Source organism: Homo sapiens, chromosome 4, assembly GCF_000001405.40.
Source record: "Homo sapiens chromosome 4, GRCh38.p14 Primary Assembly".
In the NCBI taxonomy this organism is placed as follows: Eukaryota; Metazoa; Chordata; class Mammalia; order Primates; family Hominidae; genus Homo; species Homo sapiens.
In genome coordinates, this window is record NC_000004.12 from 87,649,032 (window position 1) to 87,671,640 (window position 22,609).

Here is a 22,609-nt window from a genome sequence, read left to right on the forward strand (position 1 = left end):
TCATTGTCTGCACCACCCTCCCCCGCATATTATAGTTCACACTAAATATGTTGATAATCCATATATCTGACATTAGTTGCCTGAATAAATTGGGCACTCTAATTTTCTAGATCCATGTTAGGAGCATCAGCTCAATTTTTTTTTTAACAATTAAAGCATTTTTTTAAAAGTTACAGTGAGTTATGCAGATACTGTAATCAAGTTAATAGTTTGGCTAATTTTCAAGCCAATCCACTCAGTCATTCAAAGAGTACTGAGTGATTATTAAGAACTGTTCTAGGTATCCAGGCACTGATTATAGATCAGTAGACAAGCAAACATCCCTACTCTTAAGGAAATTAAGGTCCAGCAGCTGATATTCTCTAAATTCTTGTTCAGTGGCCATCCTGCCGTCACTTGAACACGCTCCTGGGAAATTGCCAAACCCATTTCCAGCTCCCTACAACTTTTAGTACGCTTCCTCGAAAATGTTTTGGTAAATATCATTTTATCCATTTCATTACATTTTCAGTGGTGGCACAGAGTCCCTTCAAGATTAGTTTCCTTGGATGCTACCCAGCTAGTATTCCCCTTAATCCAATTCTGATTTCAAAGAATCATTAAAATGTGGCAAACAGGGAATGATTAAGTGTTAAGTGTTAGATCTAAATTTCTTGAATAACACAATAGCTACTTAAGGGGGGTACTTTAGTGGACGCTTTATTAGATTAGTAGGAGTTTGGGAACTTTGTGTGTATATGGGGGTGGGGAGATGAGAGGAAAAGGAGGTGAGTAGTAGAGGTTGTTAAAAGAGGAAAAAGGAAGAAATAAAAGCCCATATTCTCAAAACCAACAATTTAAGGAACTCTAGTATTTTAGTAGCTTTCTCCATGTACAACCTGGAAATGTACATTAACAGGAAACTTTCTACCCACCCCTGCCTCCGCCTTTCCCATCCTTGGGTCTGCTGGGATCTGTCGGTGGGTAGAAGACATTGTCATTGTTCATAAGACTGCCTGAATGTGAATGACATATATTTAGAAATCAAAATAAAGTTTTGGGAAGATCTTCAATTTAATGGAAACTAGTCTAGTCATTTGGGAACCACAAGAGCTTTTTAGGGAAAATGTGCCTCTGCCAGCTGGAGGAAGTGTGGGTGTACCGGGGTCCCGGTGACACCTTGTGATGTCAGTCACCCCCAGCCTGAGGTTGATTGGCTATGAAGAGCTGCAGCAGAGTTTAAATTCCTGCACCATCAGAGAAGTGTCCAGAATATCAACACAAGAGTGGCTTCATTGGGCATAGATTTCCTCTTTGAGAACATCAACCTGATTTTTGAGACTTTTTGAAAAAATTCTTTGTGAACTACGGAGGGTAAGTCATTTTCATCATTTAATTTTTTAAAATGACTTTTGCTGGTTGTTTGGAAAATATTAAATATGTATACATGTTTGAGGCATTATACCATGTAGAGAGAGATGGGAGAGCTGCGCTTTGGGTAAAAACAGTTCCTATTTTTGTGCCTGTTGTTTATGCCACAGTAAATAATGATATGAAAATGACATGTTAAGACAATACAGCCAGGTGTTTTTCTTGGTAATGCTTTAATTAGATCTCTGCATGACACTTCTAAAAGGGATAGTTTATAGAACAGGAGGCAGATGGAAGGTCATTTTGAAATTTAGTTTTAATTAGCAAAACGTATAAAACTTTTACAGTGTGTTTCATGAATAAGGGAATGTTTGCAACCTACAAGATTGTGAAAAAAAAGCTAAACTTATTGAATGGCAGGACTTTAAAAAGAATTTTTTTTAAATTAAAATGTTATTCATCTAGAGAGCATCTAGTAACATTTATTATGAACTGCATAAGTAACTAAAAGATGATTAAACTACTGAAATAACTGAGGGTGTGATAATTATGTTTTTTGTATTCATGTTAGCATGATGCCTTGAATACAGTTAGAATTCAATAAATGTTGAATATAATTATATTTTAAAATATTGCATTTTAAAACATATATTTTAAAATGTCCATATGTATTTTTATTTACTGTATTTAGTGCACTTCTTCATCTGTGTGACGTTTAGAAGAGTCCATGTGTTTTAGCAACTTGTCTTCCTTAAGAGCAGTAACTTGTGGTTAACCATACTTTCTGTTTAACTGAGGCTTGACTATCTTATTTTAACTTTGTTGTTTAAAAATGCGAACAAACTATTTTCTAAAGGGTATTAGTCCACTTACCTACCTGAAAATGGTGATGTAAAACAATGTGCCTCAGATGCTTAGAGGCCTTCCAAATCTATATTTAATTTTGGGGGCACCTCAGAGGTATATTCCTGTGATTAAAAGCATATAATATTGGATTCATCGTAATTGACCTGAAGACACATACAATAGGAAGAATTGGATTTTTTTTTGGTTTGTTTGTTTCTCTGGATTCCTGGTAGAGTTCATATCCTGGCCAAGTTTGATTCTATTTTCAAAGAGTAATAAGAAAACAAATTCTAGCAGGTTCTAGTTAGTTGGATTCTGGTTAATTTTATTATTATAAAACCAACTTATTTTATTATTATTGTTTATTATTATTAAAGTTTCCTGCTAATGTACATTTACAGGTTGTACATGGAGAAAGCTACCAAAATATTAGAGTTTCTTAAATTGTTGGTTTTGAGAATATGGGCTAGAAAAGTGCCTAACACATTGCATGTTCATAAATATTTACTGACTGCTAATGAATGAATGTATTGTTCAGTTGTGTTCTTGAAGATAACAATACTAAGACAAATAAAGCAAATTAATATGATGAATTGTTTTCCAAAAGAAAAAAGAGTCTATGACTTTTCAAACCTTTATTTTCTTCTTTTGGCCTATTTCCTTCATTTTGGTTTACATAAAAGAAGATATATATTTTACAAATGTATCTTAACCTTGAGAAAATGCTAGAACAAATTTCCTTACTTAAGAGCCGAAAGAAGTTTTGGCTACACACCTGAAATCTTGACTTTAGTTTCCCTCTCCACATTCTAAACATTTGGCTCTTTTCAACTCTATGAAAACAATTCACAGGGGCAGAAATTCTCTAATACACCGCCTTCCAAATGGATGGAACTCAAGTTGTTTATTTCCTTTTGTTACGTCATCTCACTGTAGAATGACAGCATGTAGAATGTAGAAATAACATTAACCAATCACTGAAGAAGAACTCAAAGTTCTGGACTTTTAATTGCAGGCTTGTAGCTGTGGTTCACATTTATTATTCAGAATATGGCTACTGCCTATCTGCTTCTACTCTTTTTTGAATAGTAGCCAAAATGTTTATAAAAGTTTGGAGCTCTTGTTTGGAAATGCACTTCACAAAATTATAATTATTTTTATCAGAAATACCAAATGCAAACCTAACAAGGGGTTTAAGATCTGATTTTCTTTAATGCTTACAGTTGGACTATATTTTTTGGGTGGCAACATCAGCTCTCTCAGAACTCTAGAGTGTCTTTTATTTTAGTTTACTAGACTTGCATCTGGGAAATTATTGCTTTAGGTCAGGATGCTAACGAGTATTTCTAGAATCCTGAGCAAGTTAGGGCATCTTTCTTGTGTTTTAGAATCTTCCATCCCTAAGAAACTTGAGCACTTGGGGCATGCACTTCTTTGTGAGAAAACACAACGTTCATTGGTTTAGAATAAATGCACAATGGCATCCCCAGTTTTCTAATTATTTAGATTAGAGAAGCTAAAGAAAATACAAGAGAATTCAATAGTCATTGACCTTCTGTCAAGGCTCTAACATTTGCTAGCTTTCAGAGAATCATGAAATTATAACCCTATTCAAATTTCACTTTGAAAATTAAAATGATGAGGTAACTTTCATTTGATCTGTGAAACTGAAAGCATTGAAAGGGTTATTTTGAGAATATCATATTTGAGAAAATTTTGCTTTCCTGAAGAAATAAACCTAACACATTTTTTAAAAAGTTTTGATTGTGGTATCTAAAGAGAAGTAACATCTATTAAATTAAGCTTGATTTTGGTATAGTTAAGCATTTTCATATGTTTTTCTCTGTTGATATTAATTGAAGGATTTTTAAAAGAAATTAAGATAGTATCAAACATAAGGACTGATATACACTATGCGAATTAGAATAAAGAAAGTAGCACAAATTAAGAATAACTATGCTGAGGAGAGATAATGCCCATAATATACATGAGAGGTTGTTTGACCATTTGAGTTGTGTGAAAGCAGAAATGAGAAGCCTGTTCAGGCTCCTTATCTTAGGATTTCTATTATTTTATTGAATACATTAAAAATAAGATTAGATGACTTCTTGAGCCCAATGTTTCAGACAATATTCAGCATATTCAGGCATTATCGAGTGATATATATATATATATATATATATATATATATATATATATATATATACTTTTTTTTTGAGATAGGGTCTTGCTCTGTCACCCAAACAGGTGTGGAGTGGCACGATCATGGCTCAGTGCAGCTTCAACCTCCCTGGCTCAAAGAATTCTCCCCACTCAGCCTCCTGAGTAGCTGGGACTACAGGCACGTGCCACCAAGCCTGGTTAATTATGATATTTTTAATTCTTAGATCAAGTGTTAAAATCTCTTGTGGAACTTTAAAAACAAACCTATTCCTGTGCCCACCCAAGTGAATGGATTTATTGCCCTGGGATGGGATTTGTGCATTGGCATTTTTAAAACTCTTCCCAGTTGATAGTAATATATATTTAGGGTTGAGAATCTTTGGCTTTTAACTCCTATCATTATTTTAGGGGCCAAGGGAAAACTTCCCCCTCACCCTCTGAAGGTTTGCTGAAAATCAACTGACAAAATATAGATTAATAGGAGAAAAGGAATACAAAATTATTTTTATGTGACACAGGAGCCTTCAGAACGAAGACCTAAAGATACAGGAGAAACTGTCCATCTTTATGCTTATGTCCAACAAAACATGGGCAGCCATGTAGAAATATGATTGGACAAAAAGGTTTTGACCTTATACTAGTAGACCAAGTGGGGTGGCCCAGCAAAGCCTGTCCAGATTCTTCTTGGCCTCTCCGTGCAGCATTTCTTCCTTCTTGATATGGGACAGGACCTTCTCTGCAATGCGGGTCTTATGACATACAATTAAACTAGGGGGGTCAGAGAATTTCTTTAAGGCCAGTTGTTACACAGAAAGACAGGGGGACTTAGGGTAATATTTTCAGGTTTTATTGCTGGCTTTGGGGAAAAGAGGTTCTGGTTTCTATAACCTGCCTTTGGGAAAGAGGGATTCTAGTTTCTATGGTTAGTCTCAGGGGAGAATGAGGGGCCAGAGATAGGAGGGCAGGGGAAGGTCAGAGAGAAGCTTTTGCTTCTGAGGCTGCTTCTGAGGCCTTCATTATGGAGTATTGTTTTCTGAGTTCCTATACCAGTAAACTATTGCAAATCAAAGAAAATGACTGAGGTGAGTCTCAATTATTTTTGGAGACTTATCTTGCCAAAATTGAGGATGCACCTGGGAAAAATGAACACAAAACTACCAGAAACATCTATGGTCCATGTTTGTTTACAAAGAGTCCGAGGACTTCAGTATTTAAAGGGGAAAGAACAGGCAATAGGAGAAAGGAAGGACAGATAAAAGAGGCAAGTGGTTGCATTCCTTTGAGTCTTTGTTTAGTGCTCACTGAGCCCACATTTTATATGTGAAAGGAGAGGGTAGAGGAATAGTCAATTATGCATTTGTCTCATGCTCAGTGAATCTGCATTTCTACATAAGATAAAGTAAACATAGACTAGAGGAAGCTGTCAGACATGCATCTGTCTCAGGTGAGAAGAGGAATGACTTTTAGTTCTGTCCTTTGTCCTGAACTTATGAAGGTAAGCTGTTAATTTACATTGTGAGGGTGAAATTCAACCAGACTGTTTTGGGGTAAAGATCTCAGGGCCCACAGGAATTTCCCTGTGAGAAAATTGTGAGGGAGGTATGTAGCCTTTTATCCTTGTAGCTATCTTTTTAAGAACAAAATGGGAGGCAGGTTTGAGTGACCCAGTTCCTAGGTTGACTTTCCCTTTGACTTAGTGAGTTTGGGGTCCCAAGATTTTATTTTCCTTTCACAGTATACATTTAACATTTAAAGAAATGAAACAAATCGACAAACGTGAAATAAACTTGCAGGATTATTTGTGAAATGTATGGAAGTTCATCAGACAAGTATGCTAGGGCAGCTACCAGGGCTTACTAGTGCAGGGTAAATTGCGTTCCTTAAACCATTTCAATAAATTTTTACTTTAGCATCTAGTACTTCTATTTTTAAATACAAAACAAAGTGTTTTCCAAAGCAACAGCTCTTGAAGTGTGAAATGAAGTTACCCTCCAGAAAAATAGTTTGATTTGGCGTGTTTCTCTCAGCATGATTTACAAGTGTATCCCAAACCTGTAATCTTCCCCAAATCCTTCAGTACTGTGAATGACAGCAAAAATAATTTAGCATAATTATGTATAATGTATGACTAAACGTGTCACAGTAGATATTAAGAGCTTTCTGAAGTTGTAATATGAAGCCTACTCTAGCGCATCTCTTGCAGATCACAAAAAAAGCAAAAAAAAATCTATTTTGTGTAGACATTATTATGCAGTCATAAATGTGACTTAGAAGCCATTGTGTGTGTGTGTGTGTATGTGTATGTGTGTGTTTGTGTGTGTGTGAAAACAAATGCCCACCACCTATCACTGGTGTCAATAAGTGTAGTTTTTTAGGGAGAATACATTTGCTAGGGTGCTCTGCCATACCAAGCTGCATAATTATTGTAAAAGGGAATGGATAGAAATTTCTATATTCCTCTTTCTTTACTTTTTCGTCAATTTATCATACTTTATGTGTTAGCGTTTGTACATCTCCTCATTGAAACATTTTCAATTTATTTCTTAGGAGTGAGGTTTTTAAAAACCACTTTGTTGAGTTATAATCTATACACCACATACTTCACTAATTTGAAGTGTATAGCTCAGTGGTTTTCAGTATGTTCACAGAGTTGTGCAACCTTCACTACAATACATGGAACAGTTTCATCACCTCCAAAAGAAATCCTGTACCCATTAGCTGTCACCCCTCAACCTCCCATCTGCACAAGCTCTGGGCAACCACTAGTCTACTTTTTGTCTCTGTAGATTTGCCTATTGTGGACATTTCATGTAAATAGAATCATTCCAATGTGGCCTTTTTATCTGGCTTCTTTCACTTAGCATAGTGTTCTCAAGTTTCCTCTACTCTGCAGCACATGTCAGTACTTCATTCCTCTTTATGGTTGAATAATATTCTGTTTTATAGATACAGTAAATTTTATTTATCCATTCATCAGTTCATGGACATTTGGATGAATTTTTAGTAGGAAGAAACTGTTAAAAAGTTGAAACTACTTTATTCCTTTAACATGGAGAGAAACATCTATGTCCTTCATTCCAGGTAGAGGTATCACACCCAACTATGAAGATCAGCATCCTGCTCATGTTCCTTTGGGGATTATCCTGTGCTCTCCCAGTAAGTATTAGGGTAGGGATATATGAAAAAACCCTTTCATACTTAAAACTCCACAATTTTGATTGGCTATGAACCAAGATGGCTGTGTATGTTCCAGTCCAGTAAAAATAGTAGTTTCTTAGCATGCTGTTTTCTTAAGAAATATCATTCAAGGTGTTTTTTATTCTGTTCAGTTGCCATTCACATAGATATCATTCATACTTTTCTTCCCTATAAGCAGTGCTTCTTAAAGTGTCATCCTGGAACCACCAGCATCAGCATCAACTAGGACCTTGTTAGAAATCCAAATTCTTGGACCCTACCTCAGAGCTGCTAAGCCAGACTCTTTAGGGATAGGAAACAGAAATCAGTGTTTTAACAAGGCCTCCCAGTGATTCTGATGCAGCCTAAAATTTGACTATCCCTACTCCTATGTATGAAATGTGTTAATAACTATTGCTTTAGAAATTTCTCTTTGGATTTACCATGTGTACTAAATTTTCTAGGTAACCAGGTATCAAAATAATGAATCTGAGGATTCTGAAGAATGGAAGGTGAGTAGAAATATGACTTTTTGAAATATTTTAATTTTAATTTATTATGAGTATAACCAAATTGATTTCATTGCAAATATTGAAACTGCTAATGACTTCATCAGCATATTAATAAGCTAAGCTATAGAGTTCATAGAAGAAAATACTGCTGTGATTCCAACTTAGTAGTATACTCTGGCAAGGAAGCATATTTTCTGTTAGCTTTCTTCTTATAATGGATGTGTATAATAGTACCAGGGGATGCATGACAATGAATCAAGAGTCTTCAGGAGAGATTATGACTTGAAATCTGTTTTAACAAGAGTTATCTGGTGGGCAAGAGGTCAAGTCCTGGAAGGTGAAAAAAGAAAGAAGAATGAGAGGACACTAGAGTCTCTGGAATGAGAGCTAATGTTGCTAGCATGTTATTATATTGAGAGTTACTAACTCTCAATAACTCAAGAATCATTGCCAGGCACAGTTCTGAGTGTTTTACATATATTAACTTTCTTAATTTTCACACCTCTGTGAATTAGGTATTATGTTTTATTCTCACTTTACAGATGAGAAAACTGATCACAGAGAGTAATTCAATCGTCTAGGTTACATGGTCAATTAGTGTTAGAGCCAGACTTTGATATTACGTCACTCTAGCTCCAGAATCCACATTCTTAACCAGTGTGTCATATCCCTCTCAGGAAGGAGCCAGGTCTAAGAGGTCAGAAAATTCTCAAGATTGGCACTAAGGGTTAAAATCTTATGCGAAATCAGAGCATTTTGTTCACTACTGTGTTTCCTACTGGCTTTTACATATGATAAAGCTTGGCCCCAATGCTTTTGGTGGTGGCCAGATAATGTCAGTGACCTGAGGTGGGGTCCTGTCCATGCCTGAGTCTGGAATAGACTTTGCAGTATTTATTATGAACTTTCTTCAGAGAAATCCATAGGCTGGTTAATTTAAAAGCAGACACTCTAGATCCTCTCTCTCATTTAACCAGAGACGCACAAACATGCCCTGTTCTCAAGTCTAGCCTTGGCATGAGAAAAATAACAATGTCTTGCTCCCTTCCACCCATTAATTCCAAATGATAATTGACTGGAGCACAGCCTGCCATTGTGCCTGCCTGCAGTGTTGCAGGCCAAAGACAGCGTGATTATAGCTCCTTTCCCTAAGGAGATACCCCCAGTCCAGCACCTCTGAAACGCACGTTGAAGACATGTCAATAGCAGCTCCTCCCTGCTCTACTTTGCGCCTTGGGTGTTCCACACAGGACTTTGCCCTCCTCAAGGGGAAGGGGAAGAAGTGATGGGGAGGGGTACCAGAAGTTGCTAAGGCATTCTTATAGTGCTTATGAGACTAAAGATAGTGAAATAAATTAGAGGTATGACTAGTTAAATTTCTGATTTAGCATTTGTTTTTAATACCAGGGCTTTTACATGACTCGAGAAGGGTTTCATGGCTTTCTCAATTCAGTTTTGTTTACTATTAAATTTTATAAGGTGGATGTTATCAAATGGATTTTTTCTTTAGTTTATATCATGTTGAATAAATAGTTTTCGAGATACTTCCATAGGCATTAGCTGGTTTCATCTTCATAACTACCTTGTGGGGTAAGCACAGTGGGTGTTAATTTCCTTAATTTATGAATAAGAAACTGGTGGTCAGACACGTGAAGTGAATTGCCCACCTTCACCTAGAGTAACCAACCATCTCGGTTTACCTGGAACTTAGGGGTTTCCTGGAACACATGACTTTCAGTGCTAACACCAAGATGATTGGTTTTCAGGGCTAAAACCAAAACCAGTGAGTTAATTGAGACTTAAATCTGGATTCTGAGTTTCAATGCTGCTTTTCCTGTGTTACGTTTCCTCTAGGTTGTATGAACGGCCAGGTTCAAAAAAGCATATTTATTTCTGTAAATGAAATATCAGAAATATAAACATTGTCTAGGTCTCTTATATCCCAAGATCTTTTCAAGCCATTAGTCATTTTACTTTCCTTTTGGAACCATTTCATCATAAAATTTCACTATTACTCATGTAAATGTAAGATCTCTACCAAGAAACTAAAAATAATAACCTAAAATTATTGTAAATAATTACAATAATGAAATCCATCTGTGAGGGAGTAATTTGTTTTCCTTCCTTTCCTTTTTTGCAGGGTCATTTGGCTCAGGCACCAACACCACCCTTGGTAACTATCTCATTTACTTTTGTCATAAACATCTCATGAAGTAACTTTAACACTCTTCCAGTTGCCTTTTACAATTTTGAAAGTAGTAAATCCAGACTGGAAGCAATTGATGTGTATCATGTTTTTTTCTTTCCTAAGGAATTACTAAAAAGAAAAGTAAACATTTTTCCCCTTTCAGGAGAGCAGTGAGTCATCAGAAGGCAGTAAAGTTAGCTCAGAGGAACAGGTAATTAAACAGACCTTTCTTAACTTTTCAGGCTACTTAGGAATGGAAGGAAATGATGTTAGATTAAATTACCTGGCGACAGTTCTAAATATAATATTTTCTAACTATGAGTTATGCTGGCTAAAGAGTCCTATAAAGTAAGAAGAGAAAAATGAGTAAGGAGAATTCACATGCAGACATGCTATTCATCTTATTTTCATCACTGAGCCTAGATTGCTGGCACTGTGGCCCCAAATGTCTCTCCTAGTTAAAACATAAACACATGCGCAGAAACACACACACACACTCACAAATGGTCATTGACCATGTCAAACTTGCTCATCAACTTAAAATGTTGCTTTTACAATTGGAGCAGTTCAGCTCAGGTGAAGAAGTGCCTGGGAGCTTCTATGTGTCAAGGATCCTGCTCGAAGACAGAACAGGACAGCCCTGAGGAAACTTTAATGAAAAGAACTGCTTCAGTGATGACTTTCTCTTCGAAAATAGTCCCATCTGTGGGACTGGGCTCTGGGAGTGAGAAAGGCAGACTCAGTTTATATCCCTTAAAGCTGGCATTCTTTTTCATTTTTCTAAGACTAAGTGTTGTTACTTTCTTAGCTATGCTATTGTTTTGACCAAACTCAATCCTGTGGGGCTCCAGAGAGTCCAGGAGCCAGGTTTCTCCCTAAGGCTTTGATCCATGTTGCATTCTACACTTAGCCAGAGTTGGAAGATGAATTATTAGCCTGTTTATCCCTATTTACTTAAGGTTATCAAAGGAACATTCTAGAAATTTAAAAGCATAGAACTGGAGAAATGCCGTTTGCTGGGGACTTTGTGATTTGTTGTCTCAAGGGTCTGTAAGCTTTCAAGTTACGGTAGCAATTCCTGCTTGAGAAAGGGTAATGAGGTATGGTGATTCCTGCAGTTCCTGCTTGTGAGTTGGGTTAACGAGGTATGGCAGGTTAAACCCATGCTCAGTTCCACCATACTAGCATAAAACTCCAGTGCTAGGAAGAGAGGTCAACAGCATATACACAAGTACTCCCAATCACCCAATTACAGACTCAGACATTGATCAGTAGGGATGTGTAAAAACAAAACAAAACAAAACAAAAACTAGCAGGTATGCTCTGTTGTAGGGTATGGTAAAGAGAGCAGATATTTTGGGAGCATAATGTATGAAGACTCACTGTCCTTCCTTACTGGTACAGAGCATCCAATTGTTTTACTTACAGGGCTCACCTCTCTGACTTCCCACGTAGCACTAAGTTGCCTTGTTGGTCACACTAGTTGGTGTCTTCTAGCTGAATCATCTATAGGCAACTTTCTGGTTGTACTAACGAGGTAGAAACATGGTTTGGGTGAAGTATATACCTTACTATAATATTTAATTTTCATTTTAGCTAAAGATTTTATCCTCTGGTCCTAGTACATTTTTCCCTCCAGAAGAAAAAAAATTGGGGTCATTTTAAGATCACTCAATATTTTTAAAAACTCTGTTTCACACCAAACACTTTAATGCATGAGCATTATAAACCAACTCTAATTCACAAACAATTACCTAAGAGGTTTTTTTGTGTGTGTGTTTGTTTGTTTGAGACGGAGTCTCGCTCTGTCGCCAGGCTGGAGTGCAGTGGCTCGATCTCGGCTCACTGCAACCTCTGCCCCCCAGGTTCAAGTGATTCTCCTGCCTCAGCCTCCCAAGTAACTGGGACTACAGGTTTGTGGCACCACAGCCAGCTAATTTTTTTTTTTTTTTTTTTTTTTTTTTTTTTTTTTTGAGACGGAGTCTCGCTGTCGCCCAGGCTGGAGTGCAGTGGCGCAATCTCGGCTCACTGCAGGCTCCGCCCCCTGGGGTTCACGCCATTCTCCTGCCTCAGCCTCCGGAGTAGCTGGGACTACAGGCGCCCGCCACCTCGCCCGGCTAATTTTTTGTATTTTTTAGTAGAGACGGGGTTTCACCGTGTTAGCCAGGATGGTCTCGATCTCCTGACCTCGTGATCCGCCCGCCTCGGCCTCCCAAAGTGCTGGGATTACAGGCGTGAGCCACCGCGCCCGGCCTGCTAATTTTTGTATTTTTAGTAGAGACGAGGTTTCACCATGTTGGCCAAGATGGTCTCGATCTCTTGACCTCGGCCTCCTAAAGTGCTGGGTTATGGGTGTGAGCCACCTTGCCCAGCCCAAGAGTTTTTTTTTTTTTTTTAAGGAATTATATATACAGTATGATTTGAATTTCATAAATGTGATTTCCAGAAAGCTTTTTGAGAAAATGTTGGCAGCATTGAGTGAAGTGTGCCTATATAAAATGGAACCACTTGAGTTTCAATTCCTCTTCCTTCCTATTTAAGCTCTGGTAGAGAGGTTATTGAGTAGTAAAACTGACCGTAGATTAGAGGAGGGGATGTAGGGCGAAGGAAGCAGAAAGACTAGAAAGGCTCTAGATAACTCCTTCTCTATCGGTTCCTGGAATACTGACCATATCTGTTAACCCCAAATTCTAGGCAAATGAAGACCCCAGTGACAGCACTCAGTCAGAGGAGGGCCTGGGCTCTGATGATCATCAATACATTTATAGGCTAGCTGGTGGCTTCTCCAGGAGCACAGGAAAAGGAGGAGATGATAAAGATGACGATGAAGATGACAGTGGAGATGACACCTTTGGTGACGATGACAGTGGCCCAGGGCCCAAAGACAGACAAGAAGGAGGAAACTCCAGACTGGGAAGTGATGAGGACTCTGATGACACCATACAAGCCAGTGAAGAGAGTGCCCCACAAGGGCAAGACAGTGCCCAAGATACCACCAGTGAGAGCAGGGAACTTGACAATGAGGACCGGGTGGACAGCAAGCCTGAGGGAGGTGACTCCACTCAAGAGAGTGAGAGTGAAGAGCACTGGGTGGGAGGTGGCAGTGATGGGGAGAGCAGCCATGGAGACGGCTCCGAGTTGGACGATGAGGGAATGCAGAGTGATGACCCAGAGAGCATCAGGAGTGAAAGGGGAAACTCCAGAATGAACAGTGCAGGCATGAAATCAAAAGAATCTGGAGAAAACAGTGAGCAAGCAAACACTCAAGATTCAGGTGGCAGCCAATTGCTGGAGCATCCCAGTAGGAAAATTTTTAGGAAGTCTCGCATCTCAGAGGAAGATGACAGAAGCGAGCTTGATGACAACAACACAATGGAAGAAGTCAAGAGTGACTCTACAGAAAACAGCAACTCCAGAGACACTGGCCTCAGCCAACCCAGGAGAGACAGCAAGGGTGACTCTCAAGAAGACAGCAAGGAGAATCTGTCCCAGGAAGAGAGCCAAAACGTAGATGGTCCCAGCAGTGAGTCCAGCCAAGAGGCCAACCTGTCATCTCAAGAGAACAGCAGTGAGTCTCAGGAAGAGGTGGTGAGTGAGTCCAGGGGAGATAACCCCGACCCCACAACTAGTTATGTAGAAGACCAGGAAGACAGTGACTCCAGCGAGGAGGACAGCTCGCACACACTCTCCCACTCAAAAAGTGAATCCAGAGAGGAGCAAGCAGACAGCGAATCCAGTGAGAGCCTCAACTTCTCAGAGGAAAGCCCGGAGTCCCCTGAGGATGAGAACAGCTCCAGCCAGGAGGGCCTCCAGTCTCACAGCAGCTCAGCAGAGAGTCAGAGCGAGGAAAGCCATTCTGAGGAAGACGACAGTGACTCTCAAGACAGCAGCAGATCCAAAGAAGATAGCAACTCCACGGAGAGCAAATCAAGCAGTGAGGAAGATGGCCAGTTGAAAAACATTGAGATAGAGAGCCGGAAATTAACAGTTGATGCCTATCACAACAAACCCATTGGGGACCAAGATGACAATGACTGCCAAGACGGCTATTAGCATCAGCTGTCCTAAGAAGCAGTTGTCACATAAAGGAGTCTTAGGGACTTGAAAATGTATCATGATAACTATAATTTATTGATGTTTTGATCAAAAGAATAACCAGATGCCATATTTTTCCTGAAAGGAATTGCTGGACATTACACTTGTTTTTAGGGTGTCATCATTTCACAGAGGTTTAAATACTGTGGAGTGACACCAGAACACAGCCAAAGAGGCTAGAAGCAAGAAAGGATCTGCATGATAACTTTGCAGCTGAGATAGTTCCTAATTCATCAACGTAACAAACAAAGCTATTGGGTGTCCATGATATACCAGGCACTATGCTAGGTGTTGAGAATGTAAAGCAGGTTAAGACTTGTTTCTTGCTCCTGAGGAGCGTATAGAAGGACCCACAAAGCTACAGAGTTAAAGAGGGATATGTATAAGAGAAACAAGAATTGTTACAACCCAGTATGGTGAGTGCCAAGACAGAGAGCTATGAACACGATATCTATCTGGGAACACTGAGAAGGGTGACCAATGCGTTGGAGAACGAGGGAGGGCTTCATAGCAGAAGACATTGGAGTTGGAAGGTTGCATAGGGTTTCCTCATTGGAGACCGGGAAATTCTATTCTTGGGATAAATAATAGTAAATTCTATAGGATTCAATACTTAGTTTGCAAAAGCACTTTGAAATTATGGCACAGTGAGTTGTTTTGGATAAGAAAATCTTTTTCTCCCAATTAATTTACCAATTCATCATTTTTTTTTTTTTGTAGAACTCCCATAAACATCACCTTACTAATCACTGGTGATGATAAGAAGGATTGGGTCAGGAAGAGTGGGAGAAAGAAATTCCTCTTTACGTAGATACTTTTTAGCTTTATTTTTTCTAAAATCAGTTTGCGTGCAATGCTAGAAAAAAACTGTTCTCTGAGTCCTTTACAGAGCAAAATTCTGTATGTAAGATTCAATTGATTTTTGACAAATACCATTTGAAATATTACCTCAACATAAAATACTTGTTTTGTAATAAAGATTATAATACCCAGAAGAAATATGTGTTTATTTGTAATCGTGGTGCTGATTATTAGGATATATTTGTGTTAAGCAACTCTTTCTTTAAAGCATTCCCAAATAGTTCAGTACCTTCCTCCTATTAAAATGAAAGATTTTCTTAAATTATTTCCTGAAAATTTTATTTGTAATTCAGGTAGCATTTGATAAAAATACTATGTGTTGCTTATGATATTTCACTAACTATACCTGTTACAGAACAGGGAGAAAAAAATGAAGTAAACTCTGAATTTTTGTTTGATGCCACAGTAAAAGTTTATGATGTTTAGGCTTAACATTATTTCCTGCTGGTCTCTCAGACTCATTTGTGTAAGTTCTGGAAGCTACAGAGTACCATATTCCTTATATTTTTATTTCTTTGAAAGAAACGACTTCACGTCAGCACTTCTACTTTACAAATGTGTTTTTACTCCCACTTCCACTGCAGTACCTCAGAATTCCCCACAAAATTATTAGTAGAATCCAGAAGACTTCCTGGCCGGGTGCAGTGGCTCATGCCTGTCATCCCAGCACTTTGGGAGGCCAAGGTGAGCAGATCACTTGAGGTCAGGAGTTCGAGACCAGCCTGGCCAACACGGTCTCCACTAAAAATACCAAATGAGCCAGGTGTGGTGGCACGTCTCTGTAGTCTCAGCTACTCAGGAGGCTGAGGCACAAGAATCACTTGAACCCAGGAGGCGGAGGTTGTAGTGAGCCAAGATCGTGCCATTGCACTCCAGCCTGGTAAACAAGAGTGAGACCCTGTCTCAAAAAAAGAAAAAAAAAAAAAAAGAATCAAGAAGACTTCCTAACTTTCAGTCTCACCTTTCCCATCCTTCACATTTCTCTGTTCCCTCACAAGGTCAAAGGTGTGTTTACCTGGGGAGATTTAAAAATTGTGTGTGTGTGTGTGTGTGTGTGTGTGTGTGTGTGTGTGTGTGTGTGTGTGTATTCTCTAATGCTTCCCCTTGAAATTTTAGAGCTTTTAATTTAGTAGGTCTGGAGTGAGACCCAGAGTTCTGCATCTCTAAAAGGATTCCAGGAAATTCTGGTGGAGCCTATCCACTATCGCTATTTGGGGTCTCCATTTGGATTAATTATCTGACTCCATTAACCTACAGGTTCCTGCCAACCCATTGCTCCTTCTGAGAAGAACTGCCCCATGCTCAGACCTCCTGGGTGCCTGAGGCACAGGTGGCCAGGTTCTAACCACTCACATGCCCCACCTCACCATAGGGGATTGGAAGAATTAGCACCTGATGTGAGGGGAGCCTGGCTGGCAGCTTCCAAGGAGGCATGTTGCAAAGGCCTCATCTGCCTGAACGCGGATGATGGGGGCTTGAGGTCTAATCTTATTTTCCTTCTCTGAAAATATGTATATTTAGGGAAAGAGATGTCAGAAAGTGGTTAGAACAAAAACAGAAGGGAATACACAGAGAGGCAGAAACGGAGAGTGGGCTAACCCCCATTAATGTGGCACACAAAATGGAAAATTATGGAGCTCCTGATGCTGAGGGGCAAAATAATCATCTTCCGGCCTGCAAGTTGGATTTGACTCTTCTATTGCCCCCAAGCCTTCCTGGATTCTGGGATGTTTTGTCTTCTCGAATGCCGCCTGCATGAGGGCACCCACCTTTCTTCAGGCAACTTGAGTGAGTCTTTGTTCCCGGCAACCAAAATGCTTAATGAACAGAGACTTAGAAACTTATGTTATGTTAGCTAGCGTTCCTAGCTTCTGTAACCCAGTGGTCCCCAAACTTTCTGCTGTCAGGGACCAGTTTCATGGAAGACAATTTTTCCAGGGATGAGGGGTGAGGGGGATGGTTTCAGGGTTATTCAAGTGCATTACATTTATTGTGCACTTATTTTCTATTATTATTACATTGGAATATATAATGAAATAATTATACAACTCCCCATAGTGTAGAATCAGCCCTGAGCTTGTTGTCCTGTAACTAGATGGTTCCATCTGGGGGTGATGGGAGACAGTGACAGATCATCAGGCATATACACAGTTCACAATAGGGTTCCCACTCCTATGAGAATCTAATGCCACTGCTGATCTGACAGGAGGTAGAGATCAGGCAGTAATATGAACGGTGGGGAGCAGCTGTAAATACAGATGAAGCTTCACTTTCTCGTCTGCCTCTTACCTTTTGTTGTTGTGGCTTGGTTCCTAACCGGGGTATGAGGAGCCCTGTTATAACCCCTTTATCCAGATAATTCACAGGACTTTTAGAAGAAAGAATAGTGATAAGAATTTCAGCTATGTTCATGATAGAACGCCCCTCTGGGGCAGATGTAGGAGGGTTTTCCTTTAAGTTCCCCTTGACTCATTTCATGTGCTTGCTATAGGCATTGTTGTATCTCGCAGTTGGAAGTGGTAGAGACACATTATTCAAAGGAAAGGTGGCTGGACTTGATCTTTGGCTTTCAAGGTATAGAAGTTTCCTCATGGAGTTCCTCTTGAAGTCTGTAGTAGATGAGTCCACTTGGGAATCCAAATTATAATTAGCAAATAATTTTAAATTCATAATGGGAAAGAATAAGAATGAAAAGCCTGTATGGTGAGCAGAAATGGGAACAGAGGGAGCTATGCAGTGTGAATGCTGAACAGCATTGGGCTAAAATAAGACGGTGCATCTACGATGCTCCCTGGAAACCTCACAGTAGGAACTGAAACATTCTCTCTCCCTGAAAAGTGCTCTAAATTGCCATGATTAACTTTTGCCTCAGTGGTTCTTATTTTTCTAAGCTTGTGAGGGCTGATCCACTCTTCATTAAATTGCCCCTTTATTTTTAAAAAATTGTTAAACTGAAAAGTAATAACTGTACATACTTGTGGCGTACATAGCTATATTTTGATACATACAATGTATAGTGATCAGATAAGGGTAAATAGGATATCCATCACCTCAAGCATTTATTATGTTTTTGTGTTGGGAATGTTCAATATCCTCCTTCCAGCTATTTGAAACCATATATATATATATATATATATATATATATATATATATATATATACACACACACACACACACACATACTTTTTTATATATTATGTATATATTTTGTATAATATGTATATATATACACACATTCTTTTTCATCAGACAACCAATTTCTTTTTTTTAAAGTCAACTTTTATTTTAAGTTCAGGGGCACATGTGCCAGTTTGTTACACAGGTAAACTTGTGTCATGGGGGTTTGTTGTACAGATTATTTTATTACTCAGGTATTAAGCCTAGGACTCATTAGTTAATTTTCCTGATCCTCTCCCTTCTCCCACCCTCTACTCTCTGATAGGCCCCAGTGTGTGTTGTTCCCCTCTATGTGCCCATGTGTTCTCATCATTTAGCTCCCACTTACAAGTGAGAACATGCAGTATTTGGTTTTCTGTTCCTGCATTAGTGAAACTGTATATTATTGTTAAATATAGTCATCCTACAGTGCTATAGAACACTAGAATTGACTCCTTCTATCTAGCTGTAATTTTGTACCCCTTAACAACTCTCTATCTTCCTCCTACCCTTCCCTGCAGCTAGTATCCTCTGTTCTACTTTTCACTTCTATGAGATCAGCTACTTTTAGCTTCCACATATGAGTAAGAACATGTGGTGCTTAGCTTTCTGTTCCTGGCTTATTTCACTTAATGTCCTCCAGTTCCATCCCTGTTGCTGTTGATGACAGGATTCCATTCTTTTTATGGCTGAATAGTATTCCATTGTGTATATATACCACATTTGCTTTATCCATTCATCTGTTGTTGGACACCTAGGTTGATGCCTTATCTTGGCTACTGTGAATAGTGCTACAATAAACATGGGGATACAGATGTCTCTTCAATATAATGATTTCCTTTCCTTTGGATGAATTCCCAGTAGTGAGATTGTTGGATCACATGTTGGTTCTATTTGTAGGTTGTTGAGGAACCTCAATATTGTTCTCCGCAGTGGCTGTACTAGCTTACATGTCCACCAATATTGCCATTCTTTCTTTAAATAAAGTAGTACAGTCAAGTTGCTTTCTATGGAGTCTGGCTGGCCTCAGAGCCATTCTTTCTTGTCTACATGATTTTACATATCTATATAGCTCTTAAAATTTAGTTTCTAAATGGCAGTCTTATTTTACTCATCCTAATTCTCTGGTGAGGTGGGCACCTCCTTGTGGCTCCCAAATAAATAGAAATTGATGGTTTCCAACTGAGACCATTTGCTCATTAACATTCATTATTTCAATAAAGCACACGTTATGATCCAGGCATTAGGCATAAACAAGTTTGATCTAAGGAAGTGAATGAGAAAACAGGGGAGAAGCACATTCCTAGCAGAGAGAACACCAAAGTAAATGTACAGAATTGTTTATGGCAAGTTAAGATGTGATTTAAAAAAATCTGGAGTCACTGATGCATGGAAAAAGAGAAAGAGGAAGGGAAAATGGTAAGAGAAGAGATTGGAAAGGTGAGCTGGGATCCAATGGGAAGATCTCTGAATAACAGACTAAGGAGAGTAGTCTTCATTTTTCTTGAGAGCTTTCCCAGCACTAGGTTTTCATACATGATATATTATACATAGCATAAATGTTTTTGAGATGGATATTATAAACTCTCTCCCCCTTAAAAATAGATGTAAAAAATAAAGAAGAGCAAATGAAGCATAAGAAAGCTAAGTTAATTACTCTAGTTAGAAATCCAAGAAATGGCAGGGCCTAGGTTTCATTTCAGTTCAATGACAAGGCACTGAAAGTTTTAAGCAGTGGAATAACATTCATGAATATGACCTTATCTGCTCAAAATAAAATAGGCAAGGGAAATGCTATGTTCTCTGTTTGATCTCAATACTTAAAGAACTCAAGAGCCTCCCAGTCACTTCCTAATGGCTTGTTTTCCTAGTTCTGTTATTTTGAGAGAGCCACATTTAGTAGAGTTCATTCTTATTCTCCCAAAGTTTCCTCATGAAGATATAGATCAGAGTGATAAAGATTACTATTTAAGTTTTTCCAAAACAAACAAAAAACTGCAGTGGTGATTTTGGAGAAACTCTAGAAATATTGATTTCCAAAAATGGAAGGTTATACTGAAGTCTTTAACAAACATGGTTTAGTGCACAGCAGAATCATTCAGCCTGGAAGCTGCAGATATTGCCACAAAGCACTAGACACTGTGGCTTGTACTGCTGATCCCACTGGCAATAACTCTAGATGCTGCCAATAACATTGGAACTACTCGTGCCTCTAATCTCCAGCTGTCACTGCTGCCAGAGGCCTTTCTCCATAGGCCCTGGTTTGTTGTATCACAAGTTCTTAATTCTCTATTTGAAGAAGAGCCTATACCAAGTGCCCACGTGCTAGTTACAAGTTAATTTAGAAAGATAGCATCTTCCATTTTTGGCGTCTATATCACAAGGTATATTTTGTCTCATGTGCAAACATGTAAAGGGATAATATATGCACCATATGTAAAAAAAAAGTTCTGATGCTGAGTGAGCAAAAAGATTAAAAAATGTTCCACTGATGAAGTGAAGAAACATGTCCATGCCAGAAGGAGAAGCAGCATTTAATGATGTGGGAATGGCGGGGGGGAGGTGTGATCTGTGTTGAGGAAGATGGGAGGCATAACACTCATCCCAAGGGGAGTGTGTAAAACACCAAGGGATTCTCACAGAGAATAGAGGAGCCTTGAAATGCAAGGGAACTGACATTTATTGCATAGGCACTATGCCACAGGTCCTGTGCGAGATGTCTCACCTTAGGCCAGTGCTCCAGGAATTTCACTGATGGGTCCCGGAGACACAGATTCATGATTTTTATGTATACTTTGCCAGGGTGCTGTGAAAAATGGGAGGATATCCTTTTATATACAGTTAGGGCATTCTAAAATTGAGCTTCATAGGGAGAGGTTTCCCTAACCCCCCTAAAATTATTGATCTATGTAAATAGAGAATCCATGATTTTCATGAGATTTTCAAAGGAGTCCATGAGTGTGCTGCTGGAATCTATTCAGCTGAATAAAGGAATGACATTTACAATCATAAGATCTGTCTAGACCTTGTTCTGTTAAATTTTTGTTTTCCTGAAAAACCCAAGTCAATGCTGATCTTAAAGAGTTAGAAGTATACTGTGATCCATATTTCATGTGTCACTTACTAGGGTTAGTAGATAAAGCTATGTATAAAGGAAAATAGTGTATCATAAAATATCTTTCTGATCAAATAAACACAAAATTTAAGCTTCTGAAGAGTTAAAAGGCATAATGAAAATATCCTCAAAATAAAATTATAAATAATATCATTTATTTATATTCCAAGTATATTTAGATTATGAGTTTTATGAAGATGTTGCTGAGACTGACAATTTCCACAATATCTATTCTCTTCTTCTTTGTATTAGAAATAGAAATCTTTGGTTTTCAGTTAGGTATACGACTGCCTAGATGGAAATTCCAATTTCCTAGCCTTCCTTGCATCAAGGAATACAAATATGGCTAAGTCCTGGCCAGTGAAATGTGAGCAGAAGTGATGTGTTATGCCTTCTTCCTTTTCTCTCTTCCCATTGACTGTAAATTGCCAACTATTGAAATAACCTTTTTGTACCAAAAGATATTTTTCTTCTTGGTTGTTTCATGAGGGAGAAACAAACTTCAACATTATTTGATGCACTGTATTTTAGGATCTCCTTATTACAGAAGCTTAATCTATATCCTTACTAATATCTATGTAGTATACAAAAAATACACAAAAGAATCAGTTAAAATGAACAAAATATTTAGACTTTGCAAATCTGGGTAATGAATGCCCCAGCATATAAACTATTCCATGGGAATAAATTGAAGTTACACCATTTTAAGAACCTGTTAGATTACATTTAAAAGGTAGAAAGATCTCAAATTAACAACCTAACATTGCACCTCAAGAAACTAGAAAAATAAGAGCAATCCAAACCTCAAGCTAGCAGAAAGAAATAAATAACAAAAATCAGAGTATAACAAAATGAAATTGAGAAAAAAAGTTATATAAAGGATCAACAAAACAAAAAGTTGGTTTTTTGAAAGAATAAAAAATTGACAGACCGCTAGCTAGATTAACCAAGAAAAAATGAGGAGATTCAAATAAGCACAATCAGAAATGAGAAAGGTGACATTACAACTGATAAAATAGAAATACAAACGATTGTCAGAGACTACTGTGACATACACCACTATGTGCACAAACTGGAAAACCTAGAGGAAATGGATAAATTCCTGAAAACATACAACACCCCAAGATTGAACAAGGAAGAATTAGA

The 22,609-nt window shown here is 38.4% G+C and overlaps 1 protein-coding gene and 1 long non-coding RNA gene across 5 annotated transcripts in view; one reads left to right on the forward strand and one right to left on the reverse strand.

Annotated features, from left to right (window-relative positions):
• Positions 1-22,609, reverse strand: part of DMP1-AS1 (DMP1 and DSPP antisense RNA 1) — a 164,356-nt gene that overhangs the window by 80,973 nt on the left and 60,774 nt on the right. The gene's annotated exons all lie outside the window — the stretch shown is intronic.
• Positions 1,249-15,326, forward strand: DMP1 (dentin matrix acidic phosphoprotein 1). Of its 4 annotated transcripts, none has more exons than NM_004407.4 (6): positions 1,249-1,353; positions 7,441-7,515; positions 8,001-8,048; positions 10,189-10,221; positions 10,400-10,447; positions 12,931-15,326. In NM_004407.4, the coding sequence occupies exons 2-6, from the start codon at positions 7,462-7,464 to the stop codon at positions 14,287-14,289; spliced, it is 1,542 nt and encodes a 513-aa protein (NP_004398.1). In that variant the 5' UTR covers positions 1,249-1,353; positions 7,441-7,461; the 3' UTR covers positions 14,290-15,326. The 4 variants fall into 4 exon arrangements, with proteins under 4 accessions (NP_004398.1, NP_001073380.1, XP_011530007.1 ...); XM_011531705.3 differs by lacking the exon at positions 1,249-1,353 and adding an exon at positions 5,331-5,854; NM_001079911.3 differs by lacking the exon at positions 10,400-10,447.